Consider the following 22,420-nt stretch of genomic DNA (forward strand, 5'->3'; position numbering starts at 1 on the left):
GGGTCCAGTCTCTGCGCCTTCTTGGTTTCTGACTTCACACCCAGTAGCCTCACTCCTGGCCCAGCATGGCAAGCACAGTTTCCACTCAGGCATTTGCCCTGGTTATTCTCTCTGCCTTGGATACTTTTCTCCTAGATTCTGCCTCTAATATATTTGAACATTTACCTCTTAATATTGTTTCCTGTCTCTCCTGATCAGAATGTAAGCTGCGTGAGGGCAGGAGTTTTTGTTTGGTTTACAGCTACTGTCCCAGCTCCGAGAACAGTGCTGACACTTAGGAAGTGTGCAGGCTGATTTATCTCACACCATTTACTCCGGGTTTCCTCACTTCTAGTAAAGTATGACACCTTGTCTCAAATATTCTTTTCCTCTTTCCAGACCCATGTCTTTGCTCATGTAGATCACTACTTCAGGCTGACATAAAAACCGTTCTCTTGTTAAGAAAGCTCAGCAATGGGAGAGGCAATCCTCCACCCGTCTCTTGCTCTCCTACAGGTCTTTCCTGGAGGTAGTGGGTTGAATGGTGGCCCCCAAAAAGATAGGTCCAAGTCCTAACTTCTAGAACCTGTGAATGCGACCTTATTTGGAAAAAGGGTCTTTGCAAATGTAATTAAAACACCTGGAGATGAAATCATCCTGTATTTAGGATGGGCCCTAAACCCAATGATGTCTTTATAAGAGAAAAGAGAGAGAGACGCAGAGACAAAGAGAAGAAGGTCATTGAGATGGAGGCAGAGATGGGGATGAAGTGTCTGCAAACCAAGGAATGCCAAAGATTGCCAGCAAACCACCAGGGGCCAGGAGAGAGGCCTGGCCGATTCTCCCTCACAGACAGTAGAGGGAACCACCCTGCTGACCCGTCAGTTTCAGGCTTTGGGACCTCAGAACTGTAAGAGAATAAACATGTTTTGAGCCACACGGTTTATAGTCATTTGTTATGGCAGCCACAGGAAACTCACACACTGGGTATCCAGGAATGCAAGGCCTGGCCGCTCCTGAACTGGGCATCTCAGAGCTGTGTTTGCAATAGGACACTGCAGCAGGTGATGTTTCCTTCTGGATATGCCCTGAGCTCAGGGCTCCTCTTCTGCAGTGCAGCCCACTGGGTGCACAGCATCTGTCTGGGCTCTCACAAACCCCCATGGGATGTGGGGGTCAATGGGACCGTTGCAGGCACCATACTCGTGTTGCTTTGTTTCTGACCCAGTAGGAACAGTGAAGGCTCAGCTGTCAGTTTCCAAGTAGGATCGGATCTGATGATGCCTCCTTTTCACAGGAGTTAGTTACTTCTCCTTTTCTGCTTTCAACATCCCCTGCCTTGACTTCTCTCCTTTGTATGGCATTTGTTTGTCTTAGACCGTGACGTCCTGAGAGAAAACTAGGCCCCATTTGTGGTTAGGTTGGTTTCCAATCTCAGGGGCAGAGAGCTGCTTTACATAATTGATGAAAACTTTGTTTCTGTTTCCTAACTCTCGATTCAGTGCTTTTTTCACATACTCCCAAGCTTACATGTCCTTGCTACCTTCAGAAACAAAACATGGTATTAAAAGTTGCTGCTGGATATTGGGCAGCTGATATCTGACCTCATGAAGCAGAAGGGGAGGGTGAGGAATTGCCACTTGCAATAGGGATCCCCTGAGCTTCCCTGATACTAACATGGTGGGGGGGGGGGCTTGATAAAAAACAAAGGGCAGGCTCAAGAGCTCAGGGCTGCTGCTGAGAGTCTAATGGCTTCTCAGCCCCTGGTAACCTTACCCTCCAGGCCCTACTCCCACCTCCTCTCCTGCCTCCCACCCGGTCAGTGCTCCACCAAACTTCACTGCCTTACTGGAGTGCTCCTCCCTACCCTCTCCTTCGGCCCAGTCTCCTTCATCCCGGGAGACCCAGCTCACATCTCACCTGCCCTGGGGATGTGGGGCCTTCTCCCTCTCCAGAATTTCTCTTCCCTCACACTGCTCCTCAGAGCACTTGGTGTCCACTTCATCACACCCCTGCCCTGGGCCGGCAGGATCCGGGGGCTACAGGCAGGTTCTATGGGTCAGGGATGGGTCTTGCTCCTCTTTGCCACCTAGGTGTTTGGAGCTTCCCCTGCACAGAGCAGTGCTCCGCAAATGCTTGTGGATTTCAGCTCAGTCAGTGTAATTGCTCAGTTGTGTACCAGAGAAATGGTCTTGTTGGAAAGAGCCTGCAGAATGCCAACTGCAGCCTCAGCGAAGGTGATAGAAAATATCACTAAGCAACGATGGCTTATCACTCTTTGTTCAATTATAGCTAAGTTCAGCCCAAACATAAGGTCAATATCTGAATAAACTATGCAGTAAGTGGGAATTGTTTCATTTATTTTATGGCATAGTTATTTTAGAATATACAAAATGGTCGAGGAGACATGAATCCTTAAGAGTGTATGAAAAAGACAAGTGTTTATAAAGCCATACCAGCATCCAATCAATGTCAGAAGCTTTAAGAGCTGAGAAATGTCCAAACATAAAGTGTACTTGAGAAGTGATTTCCATTGGATTCCATTGCTCTCAAACAGACCCTGGCTCTGCAGCCTTACTTTTGAGGATGACTTCTCCAACAGATCTGTCTGCCTGTCTGGGGACAGATGATTGATGAGGTCAGCAAGCTGAACGATGTCACCTCTCCAGCCCCAAGCCTTTTTCAGGTACCAGAAATGGGAATTTTTATATTATCTCATTTAACATGTCTTGGCGAGCAGGACCCCAGGTTTTTAAGTCTTTGGGTTCTCCCATAGGTTTAGCACTGAGTTGTTGATCAATAAACATTTTTTGAATTTAATAAGAAAAGAAAAGCTTGGTGGGAAAGAGCTCTAAAGTTGAACTTTCTCCACCCTGACCTTCAAACCAGTCAAAGAGCCCCACCAGGGTTTGGGATCAGTAGCTCTGCCACTGCCAGCCAATGTTTCAAATTTGCATTGTCATATGTACAGCAGATGCCTCTAAGCAGTCAGCATCCAGAATATCAACAATTACTTGCAATATTTTGGTGAGATAGCCGACTTCCCCAGAAATGTGCCTACTGTATACACACCATCCCCAGTGTTGACATTTGGAAAATGGGAGAATCTCATGATCTCCTTGAACCTGGGACAAATGTGTTTGGTCCCTTCCTCACTGAGGCTGAACAAAGTCCATTCCAACCCTGCAATACAGAAATGTGGCCCAAGTTGCTGAGTGAGTGGGGAGGAAGTAGTCGCTGCATAGGCCGCTGGCAACTACTCATTCAGAGGCCTTTGTTCGTTTGATTTTGCTTAGACAAACCTGACCCCATAGGCACACTCAATTCATCAGCTCATGTGTCCCATGTGCCAGCAACAGAATAGTGTGCCTAAGATGTGTTCTCTAAGTGACTGAACTTTCCTGCTTTTCAGGCAGTCTAGTGATGGGTCAAGAGAGCCTAAGAGCTATTTGAATTGAGGAGGATTTTGATTACACTAGAATAATCAGACTTCAAGAAATTTACCATTAACACCAACTATGTGCAGCTCTCACCATTAGTGTCTGTCTTCCTACACAAGTTTATTGTTAAATTATATTTGTCTTTTTTTTTTTCCTGGAAAGGCAAGTTAGATGTCTAGGGGATTTTATGTCTGATAAATGCCTCTAGTTGGAGATGTATTACAAAGAAATTTAGACTCCCCAGGACTGAGTGGAGTAATTAGTGTATTTCTAGAATGGCTTCACCATTTGCTGGAAGACAGAATATGCTTCATGGCCATCTCCTACCAATTTTTGGCTCCTTCTTTCTCCTCCCCAATGCCCCACCCCTACTCTTTCCAACATCAGCTATTTTTATGTTTTCCCCAAATCTGAAGCTTCTTGATATATGTAGTTTTGAAGAGAGACGCACAACACTGTTTTCTTCTAGATAGCTGAGTTCTGTGGTTCTAAGATGAATAGCTAGTTCTAGCTTTAATGTGGAATTGAGGACATGGTGTTTTGGGTAGGTGAGAGACAGAAAATCATGATATGTTAGAACTAGAAAGCACCATGTTTCCTAGATGAGGGAAAGGGGAGAGGATGCAGGTAGTGGTGGTGAGGAACTCAGTCAGGAGACAGTTACCAGTGGATGTGAAGAAGGATAAGGGCAACAGAAATGGAGGTGCGACTACAAAGTGGTAAAAGAACATTGACTACCTGCTCAGGGCCAATGACCTGCAGGCAAGCAGGTCAAAGCAGGGAGTTCTTGGCAGGTGAAATTTATAACAAGATAGAGTGCTTCTTGCAGTGTCTGTTCTTTTTTTTAGGGACAGCGTCTCATTCTGTCACCCAGGCTGGAGTGCAGTGGCTGGATCATGGCTCACTGCAGCCTCGGCCACCTGAGCTCAAGCAGTCCTCGCATCTCAGCCTCCCAGGTTGATGGGACTGCAGGCACATGCCACCATGTCCAGCCTAGTGTCTGTTCTTCAGGTTAGCAAGAGCAGGGTGGATCTAGGGCTCTGAGCAGGACTGGCTGATCAAATGTCTTATTCACACTGGGAAGCTGTTCCCCCGCATGAGAGCAAGAGATAAGCCCACATCCTGTGTGGCCTCTGGATGCCCTTTGAAGCTGTATCTGGGTTCCAGCTTAGGGAGCTAGAGTCACTGGGAGGGCAGAGCAGGCACAGGAGAGTCAGAGTTGCCAGTCTTGCTTTGGTTCCACAGGTTTAAGGGACAGAATTTGCTTCAGTGGCTTTGTCTCCACCTGGTTTCATTCCCACATTCACACCCACAGGGGTGACACTCGGAATGTGTGGAAGGAGGAGCCAGGGTGTTGGGACAGGGCAGGCTGGGGGCAAGGCCAGTTTTCAACCCCATGGACCTGCGAGGGGGTGGCATGCATTCAGCCCCTGCCTGTGTCTCTGGTCTGGAAGGAATTGTTGGCATTAAAGGACGTGCCAAGGGCTAGGCACACTCAGAGAGCAGGGTGCAAGTGGGAGGCGAGGAAGGAGGGGATGCTGTGCAGGGTACTGGGGGCATGTGCAGCCGCTCACCTGACCTGCTGGACAGGCCATGGCTCAGGCACCGGCCTGCGACCAGCACAGGTGGATCAGATTGGTCTCCCAGTCAGGAGTTGGGAAGTTGAGGGCCAGGAGTTACTGGATTACCCAGAATACTCAGACTTAAAAAGCAAGCGGAGAAACTTGCTGTGTGTGCTTAGATGTGGACATGGAAAGGCCTTGCTGGAAAAAAAAAGAGCAGAATGTAAAGTATACGTTGCAGGAGATGAGTAGACCCAGACGTGGGGTTGTACTGTGCCTGAGATGCCATGGGACACCCTGTTCTGGAGGACCCCGAATAGCCACACCCAGATTCCTGACTCAGGGAAGCTGTGAGATAAGAAGTATTGTTGTTCAAGCTTCTAAGATTGGGAATAATTTGTTTTACACAGTAGATATGAAATGTAAAACATGTCACCTGAAAGGACATGGACTGTTTGGGGACTCCCCTAAAATCCATCCTTTAGATCAGGAGCCTGCCCAGGATTTGCTCTCACCCTCTGGGACCTGGTGACTCTCGTCCAAGATGCTCCTTCTCACCTGGCTTTAATTCTGGGGCCAGCCTGACCCCTGCCAAGGCCGAATATTAGGTCTTTCTGCTACCAGAAAGTTCCTGAGCACGACTGAGCTGTCCTCTCACTGGAGAAGTCATCCCCAGCTGGCAGTCAACAGAGTGGATTTACAACTGTGCCCATACCCTCTTGGCAGTCACCAAAACACGAACTTGGTTGTCATTGTTTGGTCCTCAGAAGCGTCATCAATTTGGAGTATATGGGGAAAACATCCAATTTCTGGACCTCAGCAGCTGGTAGTTATGCCTCATGAAGCCAGGTCCAGGAACTTAGCCAGTCTCCCTCTAGGACATTCTATGTCATCTCCCTATACCATCATCACAGTGAAAAGACGGACAAGGGGCAGGTCTGTCCCCTAGGGAGTCAGTCCTCAGGAAGTATTTGTTGAATGAATAAAGATTTTCCCTTACATGACTGATAGTACACTATATTTATAGTCGTATGTCTCACTTCTCTATTTAGCACTGTCCTTGAGTGTCTCTGGGCCAGTGAGCCATCTTTGTAGGGCTGCATCACACACCAGCTTATGGTGGCCACTCGTGGTCATGCCATCCTCAGCCTTGTCTGCACTCTGCCCTGCCCAGCATGGCCTGTGGCACGTATTTGCTTTGTAAAACTTCTTTACTGCACCTATATATGGAGGGCATTTTCTCTGTTAATAATAATGGTGAGATGTACATACATTTTTTCTTTCTTTCTTTTTTTTTTTTTTTGTTGAGTCTGTCGCCAGGCTGGAGTGCAGTGGCGTAATCTCGGCTCACTGCAACCTTCGCCTCCCAGGTTCAAGCGATTCTCCTGCCTCAGCCTCCCGAGTAGCTGGGATTACAGGCGTGAGTCACTGTACCCGGCCTTACATTTTTCATTTGCGTGTGTATCTATTTGCTTATGATTGATGCCCAAAAGTGGACTCCTTGGGTTAAAAGGCAGTGAGAAAGAGAACAGCAGCCCCTGACATGCAGGAGCTGGGCCCTGGTATTCTGCTGAATGTAAACTATGTCATGGAACATAACATGTCAGGCAAGTCCACCCCGACCATGAGGGATCGAGACAGGACCAAGCCCCTCTGGACTCACATCTGAGCACAAATGCACCATCCCCGCCACAGAAGCCACGATGCCCTGTGCTGGCTGCTTGAGCATGGCGGCTGCCTTGCTGGGCAGCTCTTGCCTGGCTTCCTTCCTCCTGCTTGTAAAGAAAGACCCCCAACCCTAGAGCTAGCCCCACTTCCTGACAGCATCCATCCAAGCAGAGCCCGGGTTCCTCAAACCCCCTTGCAGGTCACCCAAGCCCTAATCCTATCATCGTTTCTTTCTAACAACCTTACTGAGTGGGACACACAAGGCTCCCCAGGGTATGCGTTCTTCCTTGCTGCAATGAGGAACAAGCCCAGTTTATTAGCCTACAGTGTGCTCTGGTGGTCTCTGACTGAGGGGTAGGGGAGAACATGGTTAAGACACATTAAACCAAACTCTTTTTCCAAAAGGTTGTACCAATTTACATTCCCACCTGCAGGTGAATCTGCATTGTCTTCCTTCCAGAATTGTTGAGAAGATCAAATTAAATGAAATGATGTGGTGTTGACCAAACAAAGGCCTTTCTCCATGGGGAAGTTGCTCTTCCTCAACAGAGAGCACCTTCCCAGGGATCTTACCCCTGGAGGGGAGTTAGCCCTAAAACCAAGGTTGGTGTTCAAATAAGATGGCAAATTTCACATCTCAAATGCCATCACTCCAAATTCACTCATTCATTCTATGAATATTCAGTGTCTATGATATGCCTTGCAGATAGATCAGTGAATAGATCAATGAAAGCTCTGCCCTTTTTAACTCAAAGTTTTCACTTATAGCAAGAAGAGATGGACAATAAATCTAAAATATGCATAAATAATGTTGACATATTATTTGTTGCTGACCAATGCCATAAAGAAAACTAGAAAGTGAGGGAGAGGAAGGCTTCTGGCATGGGCAGACAGATTGCTCTTGGCCAGTGACCAGGGCTGCATGTCAGAGGGAGGCCATGTGGAAATGGGGGCTGTTTGGGGAGTGAGGGAGGAAAGCCCATTGACTCACCTCCACCTTCAGACTATATTGTGTTCTTTGTCAGCTTAGAAAATACTGCATATTTAATCAAGTTACCAAAATAATTTGAAAATGAAATTTGACAAATGGATTCTACTATTCATCTGTGAGAGAAAATGTCCAGGAACAGCTTTAAATTTTAAGAGCTGTAGCAATTAAGGCCGGGCGCAGTGCCTCACACCTGTAATCCCAGCACTTTGGGAGGCCGAGGCGGGTGGATCACGAGGTCAGGAGTTCAAGACGAGCCTGGCCAAAATGGTGAAATCCCCTCTCTACTAAAACTAAAGAAAATTAGCTAGGCATGGTGGCGGGTGCCTTGTAGTCCCAGCTACTCGGGAGGCTGAGGCAGGAGAATCGCTTGAATCCGGAAGGTGGAGTTTGCAGTGAGCCGAGATTGCACCACTGCACTCCAGCCTGGGCGACAGAGTGAGACTCCATCTCAAAAATAAAAAAAAAAAAAAAAAAAGAAAGAAAAAAGAGCTATAGCAATTAAAATGGCAGAGATGGAGCAATGGAACAAAATTTAGGTCTGAAAAAAAGCCCATGTATATTGGGAATTATGGGATGTTTTGAATGGGTGGGAAAAGTGAATAGATTGGTGTTTAGAGAACTGATTACAAAGGTGGAAAAAAATAATTTGGCAGCTCTGTTTTTCACCTTAACAAACATACATTTCACAAGGATTTTTTTTTTTTCTTTTTGAGATGGAGTCTCGCTCTATAGCCCAGGCTGAAGTACAGTATGGCACAATCTTGGCTCACTGCAACCTCCGCCTCCCAGGTTCAAGCAATTCTTCTGCCTCAGCCTCCCAAGTAGCTGGGACTACAGGTGCACGCCACCACACCCGGCTAATTTTTGTATTTTTGGTAAGGACACGGTTTCACCATATTAGCCAGGCTGGTCTTGAACTCCTGACCTCATGATCCACCCGCCTCGGCCTCCCAAAGTGCTGGGATTATAGGCGTGAGCCACTGCACCTGGACAGATTTCACAAGGAATTTTTAAAAGCTAAACATTTAGGGCCGGGTGCGGTGGCTCATGCCTGTAATCCCAACACTTTGGGAGGCCAAGGCGGGCAGATCACAAGGTCAGGAAATCGAGACCATCCTGGCCAACATGGTGAAACCCCATCTCTACTAAAAATACAAAAAATTAGCTGGGCGGCGTGTGCCTGTAATCCCAGGTAATTGGGAGGCTGAGGCAGGAAAATGGCGTGAACCCAGGAGGCAGAGCTTGCAGTGAGCCGAGATCGTGCCTCTGCGCTCCAGCCTGAGCAACAGAGTGAGACTCCATCTCAAAAAAAAAAAAAAAGCTAAATATTAAAAAAATTATAGAGGTATATCTGAAAATATGGAATATTACATACCCTTGGGGTAGAAAATGCCTATCCACATATCTAGCATCTGTCTCTCTTATGACTATATTTGGAAGTAATACATGTGATCAAAATAAATGAAAAGAATGGAAGAACTTTTTTTTTTTTTGAGACAGCGTCTCACTCTTGTTGCCCGGGCTGGAGTGCAGTGGTATGATCTTGGCTCACTGCAACCTCGACCTCCCAAGTTCAAACAATTCTCCTGCCTCAGCCTCCCAAGTCACTGGGACTACAGGCGCCTGCCACCACACCCAGCTATTTTTTTTTTTTTTTTGGTATTTGTAGCAGAGATAGGGTTTCACCATGTTGGCCAGGATGGTCTCGATATCTTGACCTCATGATCCACCCCCCTCAGCCTCCCAAAGTGCTGAGATTATAGGCGTGAGCCACCGCGTTCAGCCAGGAAGAATTTTTTAAAGGTTAAAATATATGTATGTGTATATATGTATATATGTATATGTCAACTAAAATTGGCTTACAATTCTAACTCTCTTTAATAATTATAGAACACTTAACTAGGGTCCCTAGATGAATTATCAGGCATTGTCAATACTATTTGCCTTGAAAAGGGTCCAATATATTGCTCCCTTTGGGAAATGCTAGTGCACACCACAGATGGTGCAGGAAACCACTGGCAGAGTGGCCACTCTCTCTCCCACCCCGTCATTGACATGACAAACAGCATCCCCTCGTTTTACACTAGGCCAGATCATGAAGAAACTAAGCTATGCTTCATTTTGTGCAAATCCATTGCATCCAGATTTGTAAGCCATCATGTATGAGGTAATGATTTGTTTTTACCAAACTATACAATAACATTTTTGGTTCCACATGTAAGAGCCAGGAACAGCCAGAGAGTGTTGGTTAGCTGATCCAGCTAACCAACTGTAAGGCACAGTCCCCTGCTCTGGTTCTGACAAGTACTGATGGCCACATCTGGGACCTGAGGCAGCAAAGACCCTTCTCGGTGGCCACTCAGCCAGACTTCACACAGGCCCGGGGTGCTGCTCATGGCCATTCAGATATACAGCTGCAAGGCCTGGAGGCCACACTTCAAAAACGGCAACAGGCAATTCTCATTCTTCTCCTCTGCCTCTTCCCACTATTTCTCTGTTTTCAATTCCTCTTTCTTGTTTTGCACACAAAGTTCCCTGAGATGTGCTTAACTCAGCTGGCTTAGCCACAGCCCAGCATAGGGCACTCAGCTATGCCCTGTTCTCAAAGCAGACCCATCACAGGCTGCTGGGCTTCCTAGAGCCAGCATCCTTATGCAGGTGTCACTTATCTAATACAGGTGCCACTAGCCATGTGTGGCTATTTCAATTCGTTTATTAAAAGCAAATAAAAATTTTAAAAATCCAGTCCCTCCATTGCACCAGTCACATTTTTTTTTTTTTTTTTTTGAGACGGAGTCTCGCACTCTCGCCAACGCTGGAGTACAGTGGTGCCATCTCAGCTCACTGCAAGCTCCGCCTCCCAGGTTCACACCATTCTCCTACCTCAGCCTCCCGAGTAGCTGGGACTACCGGCGCCCGCCACTACACCTGGTAATTTTTTGTATTTTTGGTAGAGACAGAGTTTCACCATGTTAGCCAAGATGGTCTCGATCTCCTGACCTTGTGATCTGCCTGCCTTGGCCTCCCAAAGTGCTGGGATTACAGGCATGAGCCACCATGCCCAGCCTCCACCAGTCACATTTCAATTGCTCAGTAAGCACACATGGCTTGTGGCAGCCATGCTGGATCCAGGTCCAGAACATTCCACGGTGGCAGGAAGTGCTACTGGACAGTGCTGCTGTCCCCAGCACTGAGGACAGTGGTTGCCAAGTTATCCTCCCCTACAGCTTTGTCCATTGACATGTCTGCAGAGCACAATGACAGTGACTGTTCCCCAGACCTTACCATCGGGGCTATTACCAAACTTTTCAGTCCTTGCTTATAAGACTTTTTTATTTTTTTGCTTGAATTTGCAAGTTTTTAATTATCAGTGAGGTTGAGTATGTCTCATATGCTTGTGACCAAGTGTATTCTTTTTTTCTGAAGTAACATTCATATCCTTCATCATTTTTCCACTTTTTTTTATCTCATTGATTGAAAAGTTTCTTTGATAAGGTCCTTTGCATATTGAGAACAAAGGTCACCATTGTTTCTATGGGTGAAGAGGCCTCAAGCTTAGTGGGGTGGGCACTTAAGAAGTGTGAACATTTATGCGCTTTGACCCACTTGCAATAATTTATTCTCCAAAAACAACTGAAAGTTCAACAGAAGGCAAGAGCTGTGTGTCCAGTGGTATTCATTTAAAAAGAAAAAAAAAAAAAGCAAAGGAAACAGGCTGGGTGGGGTGGCTTATGCATTTGGCAGGCTGAGGCAGGAGGATGGCTTGAGCCCAGCAGTTTGAGACTAGGCTGGGAAGCACGGTGAGACCTCGTCTCTACAAAAAATTTAAAAACTTTTAAAAAACAGGAAACAACCAACCCCTACAGTTGAGAATTATTTTGGGATGATATGCACCATGGAAAATGCTTCCGATACAATATTGAGTGAAATAAGCCAAATGCAAACTCGCTACATGAGAATAACAGCCACAGAGAAATATGCAAATTTCCTCATGCAAATAGCCTCTTCCCGGAAAAGAATATGGAAAAATAGAAACAGCGATGTGTAACAGGTGGAGTTGCAGGAGACCCTTTTACCAATAAACTTAATCAGGAGATAATGTGCCCAGAGGTGGAGAGGGATGGAAGCAAGTGGGCAGAGGTGCACGTGTCCTCTGAGAGAAGGTATTCACTGGACATTACCCCATGTACTGGAAAGGAGCCCTCCTTCCTATCCGGGTGCCCCAGCATCAGTCACAGGGCACAACTATGTCATGTTTGTCGTGGCTGTCTCTGATTTTTTTCTGTTTTTCTTAACATTTTTCTTTGGATGTCATCTGATCCTTCTTTTTACTTTTCACATCACAAATACCAGTACAATTAATAAAATAAAAATATTTTCATCAGAGTACTCTGTAATTATTACATCACCCCCAGAAGTGCACACGCCAGGGTCTGGGGAATGCAAGAGACTAAAGGAACTACATGTTGGCTTGACACTTTTGTTCTGCTGAATGAGCTCAGTTTAGATGGTGCTCAAGCCAACAGAGGAGCTTCCTGGACACAGCCTGTTTGCGGCTTTGCCCTGAGCCCCCTGCCAGGTCAGCAAGACTGCAAATGCCTGGAGCCACACTGAGCAGATGCTGGGCCTCCGGCTCGGCAGGGCTGTCAGCAATGGACACTGGGTGGAGAGCCTGGTGTTAGAGGCCACTGACTACTGATGATGATTTAGCAAAGTACAAGAAATGGTTTCTTTCCAGAGTCTCTTACCCAAAATTAAGCAGTGGGTAAGATAAATATTCTTAGGAATGAACCTCCTGGATAAAAGCACCAGCTCTGGGAGAACTCTGACAAGCAAATGGCAAAGGTGCTGGGTGACAACCATGGCCCCTAAGCCTGGTTGCAGCTCCCCAGCTTCCAGAGTACACCTACTCTCTAGCTGGAAAAACTTAAGAAATCGTTACTACTGGAAGTGGGGGTATGAGTCTCCACTTTACATTTCCACGTTCCCACGTTATCTGCCTGGCTGCTCTCCAGAGAGTGGGTGGACATGGAGAAACAGGAGCACAGCATTCAAAAGGGATCATCTCAAATCCAAGGTTATCCATGGACATGACTTACCTTTTCTTTGGGTTAGCACACACTGTTTCATTGTCAGAGATATTAAAAATAGGATCGGGGAAAGAGGGGCCTAGTTTGCTAGTTTGCATGGCAGCAACAGTGAGCACAAGCTCGTGACTTTCTGCTCACAGCAGTTGCTGTGGTTGGTTCCTTGACAACTCAGAGGTTGACTGTGTGCTCACACCATGGGCACCTCACACACAGATGTGAGTGTCTCAGGCAGGCAAGCGCTGCCTGTTGTTCCTGAGTTCCATGTTGATCTCAGACCATATCTTCATGCCTGCTCTCACTCCCCATCTTAGCTCTAGGTCAAATGTCTGGTATGTTGTCTAGGCCCCTGATTCTCTCCCGAACATGCGGATGCCACACTAGACATTTGACCTGGGGATCAGAAGTCCCGCATGCATCTCACTTGACTAACTCAAGGAATCAGCAAGACTGCTTTCCTTCTGGGGTCTCTAGGGGAGAATCTGTATCCTGTGTCTTCCAGCTTCCAGTGGCTGCAGCAGTCCTTGGCCTGTGGCCCCTTCCTCCATCTTCAAAGCTAGCTGCATAGCATCTTTAAATCTCTCTCTGACCTTGCTTCCGTCATCGTCTCTCCTCTGACTGACTTTCTTCCTCCCTCTTCCACATTTGAGGACCCTTGTGATTCCACTGGGCCAACCTGAGTCACCAGTATACCCTCCTTATCTGGGATCAGCTAGTTGGCAACCTTAATCTTACCTGCAACCTTGATTTCCCCTTTGTTATATAAACCACTATAGTCACAGATTCCAGCAATTGTGACAGGGACATCTCTGAGGGGCCATTAATTTGCCCACCATAGATGTTAATTAATATTACATGAATAAAAGGAATGGAGTTTTCTGTTAAAGAGTTTTATTTTCAAAGGGACATACAGCTGTTGATACATGAAGGTATACTATATCTTTCCAAAAGAGGAATCTCATAGTCAGAGTTCTCCAAAGTGATGTCACCACAGAACCTCCTTCCACAGAGTTGCTCCCAGGCCCAACTGTTGGGAAACACTGTGACAAAGCTAGAGTGCTCCAGGTTTTCAACGAGGCACTTACAAGGTTCCCTCATGATAGCTCTGTGTGTGACAAGGAGAAACGCGCTGGATGACTTTATTATTAAGTGGACTTTCAACTATTCGAGAGCCAGTAAACAGAACGATGGCAACCTGGGAGCAGGGTCTACAGTGCGTGCCATGGGGCTTCCTCCTTGTCCAAGGGATGAATGAGGACTTTCTCATTCACTTAAGTATTTTCAGTTAGTGCAAACAGTAGGCTGTGAATGCTCTGGGTAACTAGGATCTTGACAAGCTTGGGAGACCATGGCAGTGCTCTGGGCCCGCAGCACCACTGAGCATAGTGTAACTCACCCACCTCTAAAGCCTTTGCCCTTAGATGGTGTCCTGCCAAGCGGCTCTTTTGGGAAGAGTTTAACACTTGCTTGGCTCGTGTGGGGTGGTTAGCTGGGTGGATCACTTCCACCTCTGAAGGCTCAAGCCCTGCTAAGGAGCCCAAATCTTTCATGCTTTTAAAGCCTTTTACTTAGGAGGAAAAAATGCTAGAAGATGAGCTAACCTGGTACTTTAGAATCACTTCAGTTGTAACTGGGATCTTTCTCCAAGCCCAAGATGTGAGTGTTCCCATATCTCAGTCCCAGAAGCCCCAATAGTGGACTGCATACTTTCTGCCCAAATGACAAGCTCCCATCGACTGAGCGTCATCATAGTTTAACCTGTGTTTAAAAGCAGATTCTTTGCCAGGCATTCTAGGGCACTGAAAAACTGTGATGAGCAATGCAGACTACCTACCTGGAGTGCATTGCAGTTTCTGGGGTCACTGGTGACCCAGGCCCTCACAGTGTCCTCCCACCCAGCCACCCCCACTTGCTGACATACCTCCCACCCACCCGGCAGCAACCGTGCCAGCCTCAGATGGGAATCGAGGGTGTGCCCATCAGGGCTGCCCACTTTTCTTGCAGCTGAGAGGAGTCAAGTGACTTAGTTCTGGTCTCCTAGGGAAGTGGTTTCTTCCACACAAGACAGGCTTGCAAGGCGGCCTGTGTTCCTTCTACTTCCTGGTGGAGTGCAGCCATCTGCGGCCATGAAACAACCAGTCTCAGGACAAGATGGCTTCCAGCTGCTCCCTGCCAAGCAGGAAGAAGGAAACACACAAGGTGCTGGTGGCCTTGGGCAGCTGAACACACCCAGGGATGTCTGCTTCCAGCTTCCTTGTTTAGGGCGGCTGAGTGGCTGGGGGAGCTACACAGACCTGCGGGGGTTTAGGGCTGCAGCCAATGCGCCCTGGCTGGGGTCTCCCTTCGGACCCACACCCACCCTGGCCACCTGCCTGAAACCCAGGAGGTTGGCTGGGGAACCTCCAGGGTGTACAGTTACACGCTGTACTCTGGGGTGGCGGACAGGGGGTCACTTGCACTCTGTCCCCAGGGTACCCGTGCAGTCCCTGCCCTTCCGGCCCGCGGTGGGAGTGTGCTGCAGCCTCGGGCGCTGATCTGCAGCCTGTCACCTGCGCCAACGCCCCTTAACGCCCTTCTTCTCATCCCCATTTTCCGGTGCCCACCAGTCCCCTCGTGCTGACAGACGACTCAGCGTGTCTCCCCAGAGCTGCTCTGCGAACTGCACCCGTGGAGGAGCCCATACTTTCTGAACAGCCGCTTTGATCTACTTAAGCACTGCCGTGTTTTCATAGCTATGGCCCAGCTATATCATAGGACATATATCCTATGTCATAGCATAGCGGTGACAGCAGCAGGCGGCGTTGGGGCGGGGCGGGGCCAGAGTGACAGGCAGCCCTGCGGGCCCCTGGCCCCTCCCCACAGCCCCTGAGACTTGTGCGGCCCGCAGGAATCTTCTGGCGGCCACCCGGTTCGCCGGCAGCACTGTATCAGTTTCTACATGGCTCCTCTCCCAGCCCCTTACGTGGCTTATTTCGTGTCAATTCTAGGGAGGTTCTACCGTTTCCGTTCGCCGGGGGTCTGGAACGCGCACGGGCCCTGGGCGAGCCTCCCTGAGCGCCGCCACGTCCGCCTTCGTCGTCCTCCCAACCGGACCCCGCACCCCCGCCCTCCCTAGCGCTGTGCTGGACGCTTCTCTGTGAGGAGAGTCCCTCGCCCCTTCTTCAGATTTGGGAATGGACTCTCGGGCACCTGAAGCGCCTGCTCAGGATCAGGCCGGCACCTGGACATGAATCCCAAACAGAAAGCCTGAGCCCTGCCTGGCGCTTTCGCGGCTGCTGGCACGGCTGCGCAGAAACGCCAGCGTCCCTGGACCGAGCGCGGGGAGGGGCAGGCTTCCAGCAGCGCTGTCCACTGGGAAGAAGACACAACCCACATTTTTAGATTTTCCAGTTTCCACGTTGAAAAAGCAAAAAGACATGAGATTGATTTGTGACCCAGTGTATCAAAAATATTATTTAACCGATTAATCAATATGAACAATTGTTCATTAGATATTTTACTTGTTTTTAGGACTACGTTTTCAAAATCCGGTGAGAATTTTATACTCACAGCACATCTCAGCGCTGCAGCTCACGCAGGGGCGCCTCCAGCGTCAGGCTTTCTGGGCTCCTGGCTGCGTGCTGCTGGGCACGTTGCTTAATATGGCAAAGTCCCCATTTTTCTCATCCAGAAAACGGAGATCAAAGTACAGGTGCCAATTTCATAGGACTACAGTGAAGATCAAATGAGAGAGCTCAGCCAAGAATATAAGACCCATGCATGGTCTGTGGAAGTCTCGTGGTCTTTAAGGTAATTTGCATGATTTGGGGATTCTGAAAGATTTTGGAGTCAGGACAGATAGATTACAGCACCACTCTGCCACTCACCAATCACTTATTAGGCTGGTCACCTCCTCTAGCCTGGCCCTTCCATCTGCACAGCCTTTGCCCCTGGGCAGTGAGCCTTGGGTCTCCTTCCCAGCCGTGGCTCACGCCTGTAATCCTAGCACTTTGGAAGGCAGGGGCGGATGGATCACATGAAGTCAGGAGTTGGAGACCAGCCTGATCAATATGGTGAAACCCCGTCTCTATTAAAAATACAAAAATTAGCCGGGCATGGTGGCATGTGCCTATAGTCCTAGCTACTTGGGAGGCTGAGGCAGGAGAATCGCTTGAACCTGGGAGGCAGAGGTTGCAGTGAGCTGAGATGGCGCCACTGCACTCAAGCCTGGATAACAGAGCGAGACTTTGTCTCAAAAAAAAAGAGAATCGTCTAGAAGGGTTTTAAAACACCCGTGTCAGGGGCCCACCAACAAATATTCTCTCCAAAAAGATACACTTTGTGGCTTTTTTTTTTTTTTTTTTTTTTTTTTTGAGACAGAGTCTCGCTCTGTCGCCCAGGCTGGAGAGCAGTGGCACCATCTTACTGAAACCTCTGCCTCCCGGGCTCAAGCAGTCCTCCCACCTCAGCCTCCCAAGTAGCTGGGACTACAGGCACACACTACCACGCCCAACTAATTTTTTTATTTTTTTTGTAGAGACAGGGTTTCACCATGTTGCCCAGGCTGGTCTCAAACTCCCAGGCTCAAGCAATTTGCTGGCCTCGGCCTCCCAAAGTGCTGAGATTACAGGCATGAGCCACTGCACCTGGCCTTACCTTATGGCTTTTCAAAATCAGGTCATGGCCAAAAATCAGTTTTAAAACTAAAGAGTTGGGAGTTTCCTTGGTTATCTCCAATCTCATCTCACTTCTAACTGATGGCAGGAACGGGGGTCTGCCCTGACCCAGGGTCCTCCCATTTAGGACCGTCTTGGATCCGTCTCCTTAAGTCTTGGCCTAGCCTTCTCCTTAAGATTTTGATGACACAATCATTGGTTTCCCTGCAGCAGTCAGATGTGGCTTCCCTTTTACAGAACAGTCAGGTAGGGTGCCCAGCTGGTGTTCTGGCCTCCACGGGCAGGCAGCAGGGAGGGTTTCCAGGTGGCCCAGGGCTTATCACAGCTTCACTCCTCAGACCATCAACAAATGCCTGAGATGACACATTTCATTGGCATTTCTTCTCTCTTAAGTCTTCTGTAGCACTTCCCAGTTTACAAAGCACCTCCTCCGCAGGCTTTCTCCAGCTACACAACTTTAGATCAAGTCACAGGAACCTGAAGGACACCACAGGTGCTTCCAGCAAGGGCATCTGGAAGGCCTGTGGTCCGCGGTGGCTCAGGAAGGTAAGTGCGTTCTGACACCCACTAGCCTGCTCACCTGGGCCTTCCTAGCCCAGGTTCCTCACCTGTGAACAAGGACAGTGGGAGCAGTTCCTTACAGGACTCTAATGAGAGCTGTTGAGGAGATACATCCCTAGCAAGGCAGAGTCCTCTCCACAAAACAGAAAAGGAAGAAGGCAGTTTCGTTAATGACTAAGCATATCTAACTACAGTGTGTTGCAGCTCACCTGTGAAGAGAGCACACACAGACAGAAAACCCAGCAACTTTTTTTTTTTTTTTTGAGATGGAGTCTCACTCTGTCACCCAGGCTGGAGTGCAGTGGCATGATCTTGGCTCACTGCAAGCTCCGCCTCCCGGGTTCACACCACTCTCCTGCCTCAGCCTCCCAATTACCTGGGACTACAGGTGCCCGCCACCACGCCCAGCTAATTTTTTGTATTTTTAGTAGAGATGGGGTTTCACCATGTTGGCCAGGATGGTCTCGATCTCCTGACCTCGTGATCTGCCCGCCTTGGCCTCCCAAAGTGTTGGGATTACAGGCATGAGCCACCGCACCCGGCCCTAAGTGTTTAGCTTTTAAAAATTCCTTGTGAAATCTGTCCAGGTGCAGTGGCTCACGCCTATAATCCCAGCACTTTGGGAGGCCGAGGCGGGTGGATCATGAGGTCAGGAGTTCAAGACCAGCCTGGCTAATATGGTGAAACCGTGTCCTTACCAAAAATACAAAAATTAGCCGGGTGTGGTGGCGTGCACCTGTAGTCCCAGCTACTTGGGAGGCTGAGGCAGAAGAATTGCTTGAACCTGAGAGGCGGAGGTTGCAGTGAGCCAAGATCATGCCATACTGTACTTCAGCCTGGGCTATAGAGCGAGACTCCATCTCAAAAAGGAAAAAAAAATCCTTGTGAAATGTATGTTTGTTAATGGTGAAAAACAGAGCTGCCAAATTATTTTTTTCCACCTTTTTAATCAGTTCTCTAAACACCAATCTATTCCCTTTTCCCACCCATTCAAAACATCCCATAATCCCCAATATGCATGGGCTTTTTTTCAGACCTAAATTTTGTTCCATTGCTCCATCTCTGCCATTTTAATTGCTATAGCTCTTTTATCTTTCTTTCTTTCTTTCTTTTTGAGATGGAGTCTCTCTCTGTCGCCCAGGCTGGAGTACAGTGGCACAATCTCGGCTCACTGCAATCTCCACCTTCTGGGTTCAAGGGATTCTCCTGCCTCAGCCTCCCGAGTAGCTGGGACTACAGGCGCCTGCCACCACGCCCAGCTAATTTTTTGTGTTTTTTAGTAGAGACGGGGTTTCATTGTGTTGGCCAGGCTGCTCTCGAACTCCTGACCTCATGATCTGCCTGCCTCAGCCTCCCAAAGTGCTGGGATTACAAACATAAGCCACTGCACCCAGACCAGATTAGATTTTTTTAAAAAACATGATGCAGACCGTGGCTCATGCCTGTAATCCCAGCACTTTGGGAAATCGTGGCAGGCAGATCACTTGAGGTCATGAGTTCGAAACCAGCCTTGCCAACATGGTGAAACCCCATCTCTACTAAAAATACAGAAAAAATTAGCCAGGAGTGGTGGTGGGCACCTGTAATCCCAGCTACTCGGGAGGCTGAGGCAGGAGAATTGCTTGAACCCAGAAGGCAGAGGTTGCATTGAGCCAAGATTGTGCCACTGCACTCCAGCCTGGGCAACAGAGCAAGACTCCATCTCAAAATAAATAAACAAATAAAAACATGATCCATCTATATGCTGCCTATAAAACATTTAGATACAAAGACATTCAAAGTAAAATGATGGAAAAAGATATTACATTACAAAGGTAAACAATGGAAAAAGATAGCTGATAGAAAAAGCTGAGTAGGCCAGGCATGGTGGCTCATGCCTATAATACCAGCACTTTGGGAGGCTGAGGCAGCTGGATAACCTGAAGTCAGGAGTTCAAGACCAGCCCGGCCAACATGAAGAAACCCCGTCTCTACTAAAAATACAAAACTTAGCAGGGCATGGTGGCAAATGCCAGTAATCCCAGCTACTTAGGAGGCTGAGGCAGGGGAATTGCTTGAATCCAGGAGGCAGAGGTTGCAGTAAGCTGAGATCATGCCACTGCTCTCCAACCTGGGAGACACAGCGAGAGTCAGTCTCAAAAAAGAAAGAAAAAGCTGCGTGGCCATATTGTAATCAGACAAAATAGATTTTAAATCAAAAAGATTACAAGACACAAAGACTCATTTGATAAAAGTTTCAACCCACCAAAAAGATATAGTTATAAAATATAAACACCTAGCAGCAGAGCCCCAAAATATATGAAACAAAAATCAACAGAATTGAAGGAAAAAAACAGACAATGCTATAATAGTTGGAGACTTCAATACCTCATTTAAAATAATGGATAGCACAACTAGAGAGAAGATCAATACAGAAACAGAGGCCTGAACAACATTCTAATTGATTAGACATAACAGAACACTCCACTCAACAATAGCAGAATATACATTTTTTCTCATGTCAATTCTACAGAACAAACCACAAAAAGATAATAAATTTTAAAACATTGAAATCACAAAGTATTTTGTCTGATTACAGTGGAATGAAACTAGAACTCATTCTTAGAAGGAAAACTCACAAATATGTGGAAATTAAACAACATAAACAACCAGTGGGTCAAAGAAAAAGTCACTACAGAAATTAGAAAACCCCTCCATACTAATGAAAAAGAAAACACAAAGTACCAAAACTTCTGGGATGTAATGAAAGCAGGGCTAAGAGGGAAATGTAAGCTGTAAATGCCTACATTATGAAAGAAGAAAGATTACAAATCAGCAATTTAATTATATATTTTTAGAAACTAAAAAAAAAAGAGAACAAACTAAACCCAAGCAGAAGGAAGGAAATAATAAAGATTAGAGTGGGCCGGGCGCGGTGGCTCACGCCTGTAATCCCAGCAACTTTGGGAGGCCAAGACAGGCAGATCTTGAGGTCAGGAGATCGAGACTATCCTGGCTAACACGGTGAAACCCCGTCTCTACTAAAAATACAAAAAATTAGCCAGGCGTGGTGGCAGGCTACTCAGGCTACTCAGGAGGCAGAGGCAGGAGAATGGCGTGAACTCGGGAGGCGGAGCTTGCAGTGAGACGAGATCGCACCACGGCATTCCAGCCTGGGCAACAGAGCAAGACTCTGTCTCAAAAAAAAAAAAAAAAAAAAAGATTAGAGTGAAGATTAATGAAATAGTGAATAGGAAAACAATAGAAAAATCAATGAAACCAAAAGTTGGTTATTTGAAAAGATTAACAAAATTGGCAAATCTGTAGCTATATTTACTAAGAAAAAAATAGGATAAATTACTGAAATCATAAACGAAAGAAGAGACATTGTTCCTGATAATACAGAAATTGATAGATTAGAATATAATGAACAACTGCATGCCTACACACTGGATAACCCAGTGAAATAGGCAAATTCCTAGAAATGTACAAATCTACCAAAACCAATGTGAAAAGAGTTAGAAAATGTGAATAGACCTATAAAAAGTAAGAAGGTTGAATCAGTAAGTCAAAAACCTCCCAACAAAGAGAAGCCCAGGAGAAATGGCTTTACTTTTAAATTATACCAAACATTTATGTGAGAATTAACACCAGTCCTTCTCACAATCTTTCAAAACAATGAAAAGGAGGGAACATTTCCAAATTCATCTTATGAAGCCAGCATTATCCTAATACCACAGTCAGACAGAGACACTATACTGTCTGACTGTGGAGACATGAATGAAATGAAAACTACAGACCAATGTCTTTTAGGAACTTTGATGCAAAAATCCTCAACAAAATGCTAGCAAATTCAGCAGCATAATAAAAGGATTAAAAACCATGACAAAATGGAATTTATCCCTGGAATGAAAAGGTGGCCCAGTATGTGAAAATCAAGCAATCACTCCCATATTAACAGGATAAAGCAGGGGACCATGAACAGAATGCAGAAAAAAAGCATTTGAAAAAAAATCCAACTCCCTTTCGTGATAAAAAACATTAAATTAGGAACAGAAAGGAATGTCCGCAACATAAAGTCCACATACAAAAAACAGTTAACATCATACTTAATGGTGAAAGACCAAAAAATTTCCCTGTACAATCAGGATGAGGACAATGAAACCCACTTTCACCACTTCTATTCAACATAGTCCTGAAAGTTACGGCTAGAGCAATTAGGGGAAAAAGGGAAATAAAAGATAACCAATTTGTCGGGGAAGAAGTAAAAGTATCTCTCTTCACAGATGACATATGTAGAAAACCCTAGAATTACTTTCACATGAGCGCGCACACACACACAGGGCTAAGTAAACTAAATCAGCAAAACCAACACCCATAAATGAGTTGTATTTCTACACACTAGCAATAAGCAATCTGAAAAGGAAATTTAAAAAACAATTTCATTTACAGTAACACCACAAAAGTTAAAATAGGAATAAATTAAACCAAGGAGGCA

The 22,420-nt window shown here is 46.8% G+C and overlaps 1 long non-coding RNA gene across 1 annotated transcript, besides 3 other annotated features; it reads left to right on the forward strand.

The window, feature by feature from the left end:
• The first annotated feature begins 8,942 nt into the window (after positions 1-8,942).
• Positions 8,943-17,933, forward strand: LOC105373618 (uncharacterized). Its single transcript, XR_923330.4, has 2 exons — positions 8,943-16,516; positions 17,819-17,933. It is a non-coding gene; the product is annotated as an uncharacterized LOC105373618 (long non-coding RNA).
• Positions 9,778-9,877: an enhancer, noted in NCBI's record as "active region_16528". NCBI's record gives its function as "activates an Ori minimal core promoter by ATAC-STARR-seq in GM12878 lymphoblastoid cells {active_cell/tissue: GM12878}" and the evidence as "EXISTENCE:reporter gene assay evidence [ECO:0000049][PMID:35858748]".
• Positions 12,958-13,017: a silencer, noted in NCBI's record as "silent region_11959". NCBI's record gives its function as "represses an Ori minimal core promoter by ATAC-STARR-seq in GM12878 lymphoblastoid cells {active_cell/tissue: GM12878}" and the evidence as "EXISTENCE:reporter gene assay evidence [ECO:0000049][PMID:35858748]".
• Positions 15,570-15,639: a silencer, noted in NCBI's record as "silent region_11960". NCBI's record gives its function as "represses an Ori minimal core promoter by ATAC-STARR-seq in GM12878 lymphoblastoid cells {active_cell/tissue: GM12878}" and the evidence as "EXISTENCE:reporter gene assay evidence [ECO:0000049][PMID:35858748]".
• Positions 17,934-22,420: the final 4,487 nt, after the last annotated feature.

The sequence above is a fragment of the Homo sapiens genome, chromosome 2, assembly GCF_000001405.40.
Source record: "Homo sapiens chromosome 2, GRCh38.p14 Primary Assembly".
NCBI classification, from domain to species: domain Eukaryota; kingdom Metazoa; phylum Chordata; class Mammalia; order Primates; family Hominidae; genus Homo; species Homo sapiens.